At 50.0% G+C, this 14,155-nt stretch overlaps 1 protein-coding gene across 14 annotated transcripts in view, besides 1 other annotated feature; it reads left to right on the forward strand.

Annotated features, from left to right (window-relative positions):
• Positions 1–8,134: 8,134 nt before the first annotated feature.
• ADGRD1 (adhesion G protein-coupled receptor D1) overlaps positions 8,135–14,155 on the forward strand; it is a 187,563-nt gene continuing 181,542 nt past the window's right edge. For all 14 annotated transcript variants that reach the window (NM_001330497.2, XM_011538204.2, XM_011538206.2 and 11 more), the window contains exons 1-2: positions 8,135–8,759; positions 8,852–8,888. In NM_001330497.2, the coding sequence (NP_001317426.1) occupies positions 8,694–8,759; positions 8,852–8,888 (103 nt within the window). In that variant the 5' untranslated portion in view covers positions 8,135–8,693. The remainder of the gene's footprint in view (positions 8,760–8,851; positions 8,889–14,155) is intronic.
• Positions 12,952–13,246: an enhancer, noted in NCBI's record as "tiled region #4789; K562 Activating DNase matched - State 6:EnhF". NCBI's record gives its function as "activates a minimal TATA promoter and a strong SV40 promoter by Sharpr-MPRA in K562 cells {active_cell/tissue: K562}" and the evidence as "EXISTENCE:reporter gene assay evidence [ECO:0000049][PMID:27701403]".

The raw sequence follows: 14,155 nt of genomic DNA on the forward strand, positions 1-14,155 counted from the left end.
AACTTCCATCTCTCTGCAGAAATTCTCCATTTATTCATCAGCGTTGTCATCATTTTTCCAGTAAAACATTTAACATATTAATCATAGTTGTTTAAACTGGTCTATCTTCTAGTTTGATTGCTTCGTTTCTTGGCAGTGGGTTGTTTTTCTTTCTCTTTTGTGTGTGTCATAATTTTAGAATGAGTGCTGGACATCACACATAGGACAGTGGAGACTAAGATAAGTAGTATTTATGCCAGGAAATGGGGAAAAGTCTTCTCTGCTAGGTCATTAATGCATGTGTGTCCTTGCATGTGTGGGTGTGTGCAGATGTGTGTGTTTATGTGCATGTGTGTAAGGTATGTGTGTTGGTGTGTTTATGTGCATGTGTGTAAGGTATGTGTGTTGGTGTGTATATGTGCATGTGTGTGTGATATGTGTGTTAAGTCAATCAGGCGAGTTGAGCTGGGTTTGGGTTCTGTTGCTATGGTTGCCTTCAGTCCACTGGTAGCTTCACATTCCTCTGGCAGAATCTTGCGCTTTGGGTGGGGTTTGGTTTGGCAGAAGGTTTTTCTCAGTGTTTCTGCTCTACTTTCAGTTTTAAGTGTTTCTTGTGTGCCAGAATGTCAGAGCGGCTCTCCTCTGGCTCCTACCCTCTCAGTCCTAGAACGCTGGATCTTGCAAGCCTGGGCATGGGGAATAGAGAAGGTTCTGAGGCCCGGCCTCAGTCTTAGGTGGACTTTGTGTCTCTGTGTCTTGAGATGGATTTTCTTGGTGGCCCTGCCCCTCTCCCATTTGAAGGAGATCTTTGATGATCTGGACCCAGGAGAGTTTCTGCCTCTGCCCTGGGAATAGAGGGTAGTTTCTCCCCACTGCATCCCAGAGGTTCTTCCCTGTGCCCTGCGGCTGGCAGGGCTGGCTGTCCTTCCCCCAGCAGCACAAGGACTGCTTGTGCTTTGTTCCTTGGGGAGAAAGGTCCAGGCAGGGCTTTGTGCCCTTGCACAGTGATGGCCACTCACTTCTCCAGCTGTGCAGAGTGGTTCTCTCCAGCCTCCTGCCTGCCCCCAGTCCTTCTTCTGTACCTGCTGGGCATCCAGGGAGAAGAGGCCGAGATGGGAACAAACTTCCTTGGTGTGCAGCTGCCAGCAGTCTATGCTCTCTCTCCAGCCTACACCAGCCTTTAGAAATCCATCAAAAGCTTTTGCTGAATGCTTCTTACCTGTTGAGCTCACGCTCTGCCACCTGCGAGATGACGCTCATGTCCCATTTCTCCTTAGACCTATCTTCCCCTAGATTTCGGGCAGGGTGATTTCCTTGAACCTCAGCTCTCTGATGGGTTCAAGAAAAGTTAAGATTTTGTAGATTACCTGGCTTTTTCTCGTGATGGGAGTGATGTTCTTTCCAGCTTTTTACATCCCAGGAGGAAAAGCTTGTGGTTTTCATTCTCATGGTTGAGGACAGCTGCTCCACCTCAGCTTAGCATTTCCACATTCCAGCCAGAAAGGTCAAGGTCAGAAGCCTTCAGGAAGAACAAAGGTCAAAAGGAGTTTGCCTTTTCAAAATGTCTTCTCAGAAGCCCATTCAAGAGACTTCTGCCTGTCTCTCATTGCCTGTAGGTCACATGGCCACCCCTAGCTGAAAGGGAAGTAACCTTTTTACTTGTGCATATTGGCACCCAAATATATTTGCAATTCTGCATACAGAGAAAGAAGAGAACAGATTTGAGTAGGCAATTAGCAATGTCCTCTGTGCATATTCTTGCTGAAAACACTCCTTACCAACTAAGCAGTTTGTTACACTTTCATCCTTGCTCTCATTGTCCTTGAAAACTGGATAAAAGCTATGGACCTTCTCCCCCCAAAATTCACATATGCACATTCAAAATGTGCACGTGGGCCGGGCATGGTGGCTCACGCCTGTAATCCTAGCACTTTGGAAGGCTGAGGCGGGCAGATCACCTGACATCAGGAGTTCGAGACCAGCCTGGCGAATACGGTGAAAACCCACCTCTACTAAAAATACAAAAAATTAGCCAGGCGTGGTGGTAGGTGCCTGTAATCCCAGCTACTTGGGAGGTTGAGGCAGGAGAATCGCTTGAGCCCTGGAGGTGGAGGTTGCAGTGAGTGGAGATCATGCCACTGCACTCCAGCCTGGGTGACAAAGTGAGACTCCGTCACCAAAAAAAAAAAAAAAAAAAAAAAGTATATGTGATCCAGAGCATTTCCTGATCCCTGAAGTCTATCCGTGAATGCCTTTGGGATCCTTGGTGATACAGGAGCTAAAAAGAAATGATTTAGGTGGTTAGTGAAGGTACGGGAGTCCTTGGTAAGGTTTCCTTTTAATAAGAAAGCAGCCTCCAAGTCATTTCTTTTCTAACAAAAAGCAGCCTGAAAAATCAAGCTGCCAGTGTAGATAAGTAAGCTGGAAGCCTGCATAGGGGAATGCTGGCAGCTGTGCCAATAGAAAAGGGAAACCTGGAAGCCAGGTATGTTCAACATGGAGGTTCCCTCTTCCCTTTTCTTTGTCGCCACGTGTGCGGGCGTCATGGTGCCAGCCAAGTAAAGACTCCATTTGCATAATAAAAGATTAGAGTGGGATAGCCAGCCTCTTCCGGGCTATGTAAATGGCATATCTGGTCCAACCAATCCACTACACCCTATGTAAATCGACACCGCCTCCTCAAGCTCATCTATGAAATCAAACACATCTCACCCCAAACCCAGAAACCCGCTGGGTCCCCCTCCCTTTACACAAGGCAGCGCTCTTCTTTCTTTCGCCTATTAAACTTTCTGCTCTTAAACCTACTCCTTGTGTGTCCATGTCTTTGATTTCCTTAGCAGGAGACAACAAACCCCGGGGATTTCCCCAGACAAACGATGCTGCTTCATTGGGACTAACTTACGCGAGTGTCTCGTTCTTGGTTCTCTGAGAGCAGAGCCCAGTGCCAACACTCACGTGTGAGCAGTGCTTTAGAGTGTGAGTCCAGGGGGCCAAAGTGGGGGACGGGGGCAACAGACACAGAAGTGGGGAAGCGGCAATGCAGGGAAATGCTACCGTGTTGCAACCATGATGGTTGGAGGGAGAAAAGCGGGTTTGTCCACTGGATCCTGCACTTCATGGGCTCGAGTACCTCACGTTTCTGGGTGCTTATGCCTGAGGCTGCAGGGCTTTCCCGGGCCTCCCATCTGCTGAGTCAGAGACCCCAGGGTGGAGCATGCTCTGGCTTCTGAGGGCATCGCCATCAGGAGCAACGCTGGTGGAAGCCAGTGTGAAGCTGATCATCCTACTGGTAGGTGGATAAGAAGTAGGGCAGAGAAGATTTAAAGAGGTGAATGAAAGGGGCCCCGTACACAGGCCCTCTTGATTATGTTGTTGACTCTCTCCAGCCTCAGCCCCTGCCACTTTCCCTACTTGTGCCTACTCTTCATTGAATATATAATTAATTGTGGTTTCTCAAATCTGTGTCACTGACCAGGACTCTTAATGACCAGGGACAGAAACCAAGCTCAAACTTGCTTGAGCCTAACATAAATTTCTCGGTGCCTGTCAGGGAATGCTGGCTTTAGGTCTTGTAGGATCCAAGGGCTCAGCTGACAGCATCAGGTTTTCTCTTGACCCTCTCCAAGGCTAGGCGGCTAGAGTCTCTATGTTTGCTTGTTATCTTCAGCTCTGTGTAATTCTTTTCTTTGTTGTGGGAAAAATGGGCATCACCAGCCTTGATTGAAGACCATTCTGGATTAGCAACTGCAGTGGCGGAGGGAGTCTTTTCTCTCCCATGGTCAATCTATTGATCCCGGGGAAGACACTGATTGGTTCTGAGTGGGTCACATGTACACCTTTGGGCCATTCACAGTGCCTGTGGTATGGAGGAGCTGCAAGTGTTCCCACTGGGTCACAACTCCCCCGCAACACCTGCAGCTTCTGACAGTCCCGTCTGAGCTCACGGGTCGGTGGAAGAAACGTCCTTCAAAAGGAAAGCCGACAGGAGCCGGAGGGGAGGCTGGGCTGGTAGAAACAACACACGCCCATGGTCCATGGCATGCTGCATCGGAGCTTTAGCCCATTCCATAGCTTCTTTCCAGAATGTCCCATCCCTTAACCACTCAGAGAAAGAATTCTTGAACTCCTTCGTGTGACTTTCACAGTGAATTCGCCCCCAGGCTTCTAACACCGTTCATTTCCATGTACGTTGTGTGCTGCACACCCCTCCTAGCACACTGCTTACGAACTGCTGCTCCGCCTTGCTTATCTACACAGGAGTAAACGTGATGGACACACAACTCTTGCTGCCTCTCACAAATATGCCGGCGTATGGGAGGGTCTGAGCTGGAGGGAGGCGCACCTTGGATTGGTGTGAATCAGGCATCAGGAACTCCTGTGCTCACAGCTTGTCCAGCTCTCCCTCAGCATTTGGGCCACTCCACAGAATTCTTTGTTCAGGCCCGATCTGTCCTCCTGGGACATCTGAGCTGCTCAGCACCAGGAAACATGCTCTGTTGTGCGCAGGGCATCAGCTTTGCAAATAATCCAGTTACGTTCCCATTGGTAGCTGGCGTCACACTTTATGTCCTTGTAAAATTTTGAGTGGAGCCTAATCACAATGTAAGGTCTCATTTTTAATGTTTAATTAGCATCCTCCCAGTAAAGTCTGAAATATTTTACCAAAGCGTAACAATGTTTTTCATTCTTTAAGTAAAGTACACATGCATGTGGCCCAAAACTATGACTTGAATGTTGAATGTGAGGCTGCCTGCCGGGCACTCCCCACCCAAGCATAGAAAAAAGAAAATCGGGCCGGGCGCGGTGGCTCACACCTGTAATCCCAGCACTTTGGGAGGCTGAGGTGGGCGGATCACGAGGTCAGGAGTTCGAGACCAGCCTGGCCAACATGGTGAAACTCCGCCTCTACTAAAAATACAAAAAAATTAGCCGGGTGTGGTGGCGGGTGCCTGTAATCCTGGCTACTCAGGAGGCTGAGGCAGGAGAATTGCTTGAACCTGGGAGCTCAGTGAGGTTGTGGTGGGCTGAGATCGTGCCACTGCCCTCTAGCCTGGGCAACAGAATGAGACTCCATCTCAAAATAAATAAATAAATACAATAAAATCTTGGGTTCCTTGAAGGGGAATTCCAGCCACCTAGCTAGCCCTGAGAAATACATGAGCAACTTGGGAAGCAAGAAGTTAATAGTGGCGAGAAACAATAGTCAAGAGAGTTAGAGTCAGGAATTCATTGCTTCCCTGTAGAAACTAAAGACAACATCGTAACAAACGACCCGGAGTTGTTTTTCAGAACCTGGACCCCCACCAAATGGATCTGTTGACTTACAGACCTCTGATATGGGGGAGCGGAGAGCTGAACTCCACCACCGTTCTTTGTTCTTTGTTTTTTGAGACAGAGTCTCACTCTGTTGCCCAGGCTGGAGTGCAGTGGCTCAATCTCAGCTCACTGCAACCTCCGCCTCCTGGGTTCAAGCGATTCTCTTGCCTCAGCCTCCCAAGTATCCTCCTGAGTACAGGTATGCACCACCACACCCGGCTAATTTTTGTATTTTTAGTAGAGACGGGGTTTCGCCATGTTGGCCAGGCTGGTCTCGAACCCCTGACCTCAGGTGATCCACCTGCCTCAGCCTCCCAAAGTGTTGGGATCCACCCCTCCGGGCCCACCACTGTTCTTTGTTCTAAATTTCTTCCTGAGGGGCCTGGAGGAGGTCATGCCCACAGGCCAGAGCTAACATTCTTTTTTGCTGATCTCAAATTTTTTGACAAAGCCTTGCCTTCTTAACCAATCACAAATCAGAAAACCTCTGAATCTACTACCTATATGACCTGTGGGCCCCCAGTTCAAGATGTCCTAGCTTTTTAGGTCAAACCAATGTGCAGCCTCCAGGTATTATTCATGTGGGACTTAGCCTGTAACCTCTGCCTCTCCACCTTGAAAAACCCTCCCCCATCAGCCATCGGGGAGTTCAGGTCTGAAGTGTGAGCTGCCAGGTTCTGCTCGCCTGGTGCCCTGCTCTAAATGCCTCACTTCCTCTCACTGCAATCCCGACGTCCATGTTTGGCTTTGCTGCGGGAGGGCAGAGCCAGGCTGGGTTTGGTGACAAACGCTGAGTGCTCACCAAGTACCAAGCCCTGTTCTCGGGGCTGGGGTGCAGAGCGAACAGGCAGAAAGAAGGTCTCTGCTCTCATGGGGCCTACGCCTCGGTGGGGAGAGACTGACAATAAATGAAATAAACGTCTAAGATATGAAGTACATTGGATCGTGGTTAGTGGGATCGAGAAAATACAGCAGGGGAGGGCTTTAGGGGGAGGGAGACCTGCTGTCAAGGTGATGTTTGGGTGCCGAACACCCCGACGTTTGGGTGATGGAATGAGATGCTCAGAGACATCAGAGTTGCTTGGTTCCAGGCCCATGGACCACTCAAGGCCCTGTCTCAAATCTCCAGGCTTCAGGACACGCTGCTTTACATGGAGGCGGGCTCTTCATCTGGGCCTCTGAACAAGGCCTGAGACAGGACGCAGGCAAATAGCATGAGGCACGAGACTGTAGTCCGGGATGGAGAGTCAGAGTGAGTCTGAGGATGAGTGCAGATGCCTGCAGGGCAAGCTCTGCTGAATTGCTTTGCTATCTAGTTTTTATTACAGTCATTGAATCGGGGTGTCTCCCATTATCTGATGACAATTTTATGATGAAAAGAAACCATGCTGGCTTTGTTCGGTCATGGAGATGGGAAAGGTCCGCATATTCAGCAATCTGTTGAATTCTTCCAGGTTAAAACTGGAGCTGAGAAAAACCTGCAGCTGCCTGTCCCTCCCTTCACCTCTTCCAGCGAGAGGCAGTGGGGGACTGGAGAGCTGATGAAATGGCAGAGATAAAGGTTGTAAATTAGTTTTCCCTGAAGCCGACCAGCCTGAGCAACAGGATAAAGGTCGTTATTACAGACAGCCCCCGGCCTTTGGAGTTCACAGTTTCTCCATTGCTAGGAGATGGAACTCTCTGGAACCCTTCTCCAGCTCCACAGAGAGGCTCAGGCTATCAGAGGATCTGAGCGGTTGTAGGCTGCAGGCACAAGTTAAAAATAATCACCTAACGTTTTGACAGCACTTTCTTTTTTTCTGTCCCACAGAGATTGGAAGTCATTTTCTTATCCTCTTTAGGAAGTATGTTGGATTCAGGATTCTTAATTCCCATTTAAAGTCAGGACAATTGAGATAACTGTATCAGCTAACATTTACTGGGTGTTATGTTATACTTGCTAATAATAATCATAGCTAACATTTACTGAGTGATAATTTTTCTTAATAGAAAATAGCAGCATTTACTGAGTGCCACATATTTTCCAAGTACTGCCTGAAGAGCCTTGGATCTGTCCTCTAATTTATTGTTACAGCCCTGAGGAGGAGGAACTATTAACCCCCATTTTGTGGATGAGGAATTCGAAAACTAAGAGAGATCAAGTAATTTGCCTAGGAGCACAGCTGGTGAATGTTGGAGAAAGTATGAAGCGGTAAATATTACTTAAATCACATAGCAAATATAGCTGTGACTGCAATTCTAGGGTGTGTGTCTCTGTGTGTCCACGTGTATTTGGAGTAGATCGGATAAACTTTGGTCTTGGGTAAACTGAGGCATGTCTGGCGAAGGGGCTGACTCTTTTCTATCCCATTGAGAACATCCTCCTGGTGCTGGGGTGGGGGTATATGTGGGATGGTGTAATTGCGCAGCGTACCTTGTAATTAATTCCGTAGCTTTCACTGACGTCCGAAAGGATTAGAGAGAAAAATGTGGTCAGCGCTTAATATGGAGGGCACAGTGGGTGTGCTGCTTTCTCTTTTCCATCCCTCTGTCAACTTCATTCTCTTTTGGGGGCAAACAAGACTCAGATCTAAACAGAGTTTATGGTTTGTTTTGCATTTTGTATTTATTAATATTTATGCCGACTTTGAAGGTGCTGACCAGAAGGCATCAGTAACACACACACGCACACGCACACACACCACACACCATGTCTGTTTGGTTTGATTCTGAGCCTGAGATCCTGGAAATATTTCAGCTGTTGTTAAGAGGCTGGAGTTAGGACCCAGGAAGGACACAGCAGTGGGGATATAAATAGAAAAGGAGAACAGAACAAAGTTTGAGGAGAGAGACTTACATCACTCACTCCCCCTCCACCCAGAGAGCAGGACGGAGGTGTGAACTTGAGCCAGACCAGAAGGAGCTCGAGAGCGGCCGCAGGACAAGCCCGAGGAGCAGGCGGGCGCTCCAGGGGAAAACCACGCACAAAACCTTCTTCAGAGAAAAGGGAAGCTCCAAACCTGACTGAGACAAACGGAGGCTCTTGAAATAAAAAGAAAATACCGCAGGACAAACAGCCTCCCGTCCCCGGGCGCAGGTCGCGGTCACAGTGGTGACCTGGGATTGCTTTCCCAGGACTGCGAGTCGGGTTTGGGTTTCTCCTCCCTGCATTCCACAGCTGCTCTGGTCATCGCAACGTGTTTATTGATCACTGAAGAATCTCAAGTTTTGAGACGAGGAAGAAACACCCATTAGGTCTCCAAGACAGCTGTGTTTCACAAACTTTAAGGAGACAGAAATTTTCTCCCCTGGAACCTGTGAAAATGTCCCTTTTCCAAGGAAGTGAAGGTTAAGAGGTCCCGTTCTCACAGACCCTCAGGAATTTCACTTGGCTCCGAGCTTTGACCTCCGAGAGAGCCATGGAAAAGCTGCTGCGGCTGTGCTGCTGGTACTCCTGGCTGCTGCTATTTTATTACAACTTTCAGGTAATGTCCCCAAGTGGCCAGGATGGCGACAGGCTTGGTTTCTCCGGAGGCTTTCCCTGAGTGTGTCTCACACTGTGGTCTTTTGTGCGCAGGTGCGTGGCGTCTACTCCAGATCGCAGGACCATCCAGGTAAGAGTGTTTCCTTCTCACTCTGAGCACCGCTCTCCCCCTGCCTAGTGCAGGTATCTCAGGAACAGCCCACTTGTTCATCTCTGAGGCATCAGCGAATGGCCCTTGTTGGGCTCCTGGTCCCCGACCTCACTGCCTCACCACACACTGTGACCCTGGGCAGCTCTGCTACCCCTCACCGGCTGAGCGGTGGATGGAGAAGTGGTTCTGGGCCCCTTGAGCTGGGTCATATGAAACATTGTGATTAAGGAAATATGATCTTCATTTGAATGCCTTCTGCCTCTTTCTTTCTCTCTTTCTCTCTTTCTTCCTTTCTTCCTTTTTTTCTTTTTGAGATGGAGTCTTGCTCTGTTGCCCAGGCTGGAGTGCAGTGGCCGCAACCTCTGCCTCCCGGGTTCAAGCAATTCTCCTGCCTCAGCCACCTGAGTAGCTGGGATCACAGGTGTGCACCACTACACCCAGCTTTTTTTTTTTTTGTATTTTTAGTAGAGACAGGGTTTCACTATGTTGGCCAGGCTGGTCTCGAACTCCTGATTTCAGGTGATCCGCCCGCCTTGGCCTCCCAGAGTGCTGGGATTACAGATGTGAGCCACCACACCCATCTCATGTCTTCAGGGCAGATTCACTGGTGGGGAGTTGGAGCTCTGGCCCATAGCAGGGTCTCGGGACCTCCAGCCTCAGAGTGCTGACCAGCTTAGCCTGGAGCAGCCGATGAGTGGGACTCGGGATAGAGGGCCACCCTTGCTCCAGCCCCAGAGCCACATTCCATTGGCCATTGTGACACCCAACCAGGAAGCATCAGGACGGGGCTTCTCTCGGGAAGACAGGGAGGCACACACCCTTCGCTGTTAAGAGTGTGGGCACACGTTCTGGTCAGCCAGGGGCAGGGATGGGAAGACGAGGCTTTCTGGGAGCAGCAGGCAGTCACTGGGCTGTTGCTCCCTGCTGGAAGTTGCAGGAGGTGGGGAGGAGACCCTGCTAGTGCCTGAACCCCTGCTGGGAAGCCTGTTGTGAGCACAGCCTCTGCCCCCGCCCCACCAGAGCTTGGCTGGGCACCCCCCCGAGCGCTATTGTATGGCCCTGCCTGTCTCTGATGGGAAATCAGCCTTTTTAAAAAAATTATTTTTGTTTTTATTTTTTGAGACAAAGTCTCACTCTGTCACCCAGGCTGGAGTTGAGTGGTGAGATCTCAGTCTCGGCTCTCTGCTACCTCTGCCTCCCGGGTTCAAGCGATTCTTGTGCCTCAGCCTTCCAAGCAGCTGGGATTACAGGCCCATGCCACCACGCCTGGCTAATTTTTGTATTTTTAGTAGACACAAGGTTTTGCCATGTTGGCCAGGCTGGTCTCGATCTCCTGACCTCGGGTGATCCAACCACCTCGGCCTCCCAAAGTGTTGGGATTACAGATGTGAGCCACTGGGCCTGGCTGGGAACCAGCCTTTAATGATCAACCACAAATGGACTCAGGCCAGCACTGTGGGCAGATCCCAGGGCGATACCCAGGCCTCCAGGGAGAGCCCCTTTCCTGGATGGAGCACCAGGAGCCTGCTGGGGTCTAGGGCCAGGGGCTGTGCCCTCAGCCTCTGTCTCCTTTCCGGCTGCCCGGCAGCCCCATGCCAGGATGTTCCAGGCATCGTCGCCTCGCCACCACCTCCATTCACCAACTCGGGGGTGGGGACGCTGCCACTTCTGTTTCGTCCACATGCATAGGGAGCTCCTTTTAAAAAGGTGTGGAAGCTGTGAGTTTCCACACATTCCCCTCTCCTCAGCCAAATCGCTGAATGAAACAAGGGCTCCTGTGGCTTGGGAACGAATAAACATGCCCAGCGCTGCGTTAAAGAGAGGACGTGTCCACCTTGGACACCTTGCTTCTCGTGAATGCAGGCCTCATGGCTTGGGCTGGGCTCCAGTAGGGGAGAGGACTGAGAGGAGGAGAGGGGTAGCCCCTCGAACTGCAGGGCGGTCAGGCAGAGCTGTGCACCCGGCTCCTGCAGCAGGCAGGTGGCCCCCGAGGCCCCAGCATGGCCCTCACTGCTGCTCAGTGTTGGAGAAAAGCTGTGCGGGTTCTCCCCGGACTTCTGCTTATGATACAGAGCCCACACGCATTCTCACACATGCACATGTGTCCACATGCCCCCCCATGCTACATGTCTACATGTGTCAACATATGCCCACATGCACCAACACAAATCACACACATCCACACATGGTGACACATATGCATACACACACACACCAGATGTCTACATGTGTCAACATATGGCCACATGTGCCAACACACATCACATGTCCACACACCACTCACATCCATACACATCAGACATGTTGACACACATGCATACACATGCAAAAGCATCCACACATATGCACACACCTGCATGCATCAACATGTGTCCACATGCATCCACACATGTGTCCACACAATTCACATGTGTAGACACACATGCACATATATACACATCCATGCACACACCCACACCCACATGTGCCAACACATGTCTACGTGCATCAACATACATGTATTTACACATGTTCACACATGTCCACACATATCCACGTGTCTACACACATGACCACACAGTCACAGACTACACACATCCACATGCATCCACACACATCCATACATTTCTACACACATGCATACACGTACACACATTCACAAAAGTCCACGTGTCTACACACATCTGCACATGCTCGCACATCTCTACACACATGCACATACATACACACATGCTCACACACGTACACCCCACACACGTCCACACACACTCATATGCATGCACGTGTCCACACACATCTTCACATACTCACATGTGTGCACACACATGCACACACACCCTCACACATTCACACACATCCCACATCCACACACATGTACACCTATTTACACAGCTCACATATCCACACACGTACACATATGTACACACACATGCACATGTGCACTTGCATTTTTGTATCTAAACTTGAAGGAGCAGTTTGAACTCAGTCTTTGTTCCATATAGAAGCTTTGTTCTTCCAAGTCTGGATTTAGGGTAGAAATCAACATTTCCTGATCAAGGCACTGTCTTAGAGAAACGACGGCCATGCTGATGACAGTAGAAAGGGACGGAAGGGTGTGGTGACCCCTAGTCTGTGTGGAAAAGCACAGTGAAGGCGGCCATGCCTCCTGAGCTCTTGAAACCGCAAGGTTTCTCTCTCCTCAGCTTTCCAGGTTCTAGCAGTCCCTCTTTTTCTCCTCGTCCTTCCTCGTCCTCCTCTCACTGCAAATTGTTTTTGAACTTTTCCTTTTTTCTCTTCCTTCCTCCTTCCTTCCTTTTTAGAATAATGGTGAAGGTGGACACATTTGCTGAATATTTAGGTGCCCTCCATGAACAACACATCCTGCTGCCTGCCTTCCTTCCCTTCCTCCTCACTGTTCCCCTCCTCCCCTTCTCCCCTTCTCCTGCCTTCTCTCTCACTTTGTTTCCTGTCTCATTTTCTTTTTTCCATTTCCCTCCCTCATTTCCTTCCCTCCCTCCCCCCTCCCTCCATCCTATCCAATCCTTTCTTTTTTTTTTGAGACAGACTCTTTCTCTGTCGCCCAGGCTGGAGTGCAATGGCGTGATCTCAGCTCCCTGCAACCTCTGCCCCCTGGGTTCTAGTGACTCTCCTGCCTCAGTCACCCGAGCAGCTGGGACTACAGGCGCCCGTGACCAAGGCTGGCTAATTTTTGTATTTTTAGTAGAGACGGGGTTTCACCATGTTGACCAGGCTGGTCTCAAACTCCTGACCTCAGGTGATCCGCCTGCCTCGGCCTCCCAAAGTGCTGGGATTACAGGTGTGAGCCACCGCACCCAGCCCCAGTCCTTCCTTTTTGTCTTCTCTTCCGACATCTCAGGCTCTGCTCACCTCGTTTCCTGCTGAAAAGCCGCATCCCTGGCTGTCTGTGTGAAGCAGAATCTAGGGGCCTCCTTCATGCTCCAGCTTCCATCCTTGAGGCTCGCCTGCCCCCGGGCAGCTCTGGCAGAGGAAGCCTGGCCCTGGCGCGTCTCCTCAGGAGCGCTCATGACGGGCACGGGCGTCACAAACACACCAACAGAAACAACCTGTTTCCATCGCAAGAGAACAGCTCCTTAACACGTAGCATTTCATTCTAAAGAGTGCTAAACAGCTATGAAAAGCGGCCAGTTTGTCTGCACGTTGGGCCTTTCAATGATTTTACATCATCCTTGCGAGAGCCCTGCGGTGGTGTCACGCCCTCGCACCGCGGGTGGAGAAGCGTGTCTTTCAGACAGACCAAGCGATTTGCTCAAGGTCACAGGGCTCAGAGGACACAATATTAAGCCCAAGAAGCTCACAGCGTGAGGGGAATTAGGGGAGACAGACACAGACAGAGATTCTTGGAAAACAGCAGCCGAGTGGTCAGTACCGGGACATAGGTTCGCTCAGGTGCTGGGGGAGCCTTAAGGAGGAGTCTCCAGTATAGAGCGAGAGCCTGATCTTCCAAACGCCAGCCTACTTTCCACCACGGCCACACCAAACTGTAGTATTTTGTTAAAGGTTCTCAGAACTATTAAGCATTTCTTGTTTTCTGATTCTGGCACTCAGCACTGTGCCTTATGCATAGGAGACACGCAATAAATATTTGTTGGGCTGGCGCAGTGGCTCATTCCTGGAATCCCAGCACTTTGGGAGCCTGAGCCAGGAGGATCACTTGAGCCCAGGAATTCAAGACCAGCCTGGGCAACATAGTGAGACCCCACCTTTATAAAAAATAAACATTCAGCTGAGCATGGTGGTGCATGCCTCTAGTCCCAGCTACTTGGGAGGCTGAGGTGGGAGGATCACTTGAGTCCAGAAGTTTAAGGCTGCAGTGAACCGTGATCACACCACTGCACTCCAGCCTTGGTGACAGAGTGAGACCCTGTCTCAAAAAATATCTATATATTTATTGACTTGTCTGTGCACAGTCACTGAAGATTTGCTAGTCATCTGGTAAACCGCGTCAATAAAGCTAGCCAACCAGCATGCATTCGGCTCACAGGTGGCTGTTTTGGCTTGTATTACCTGGTTTGCCTGTCTACACTGGCAGAGGTAGCCAGATATTTGCCAGATCTTTACCATGTAGAGAGGTGTTTCATTTTGTAAGTAATTGCCAAACAACTTGAAATCATTTTAAGCCTTTGCATACTCTGTGCTTATCTGTGACCATAGATGGTCATTCTGGAGGCATTATAGAATGTCGTAGTTGAGGGACCGTGGGGACTATTGAGCCACTTCTCACTTTA

The sequence above is a fragment of the Homo sapiens genome, chromosome 12 (assembly GCF_000001405.40).
Source record: "Homo sapiens chromosome 12, GRCh38.p14 Primary Assembly".
Taxonomy (NCBI): Eukaryota; Metazoa; Chordata; class Mammalia; order Primates; family Hominidae; genus Homo; species Homo sapiens.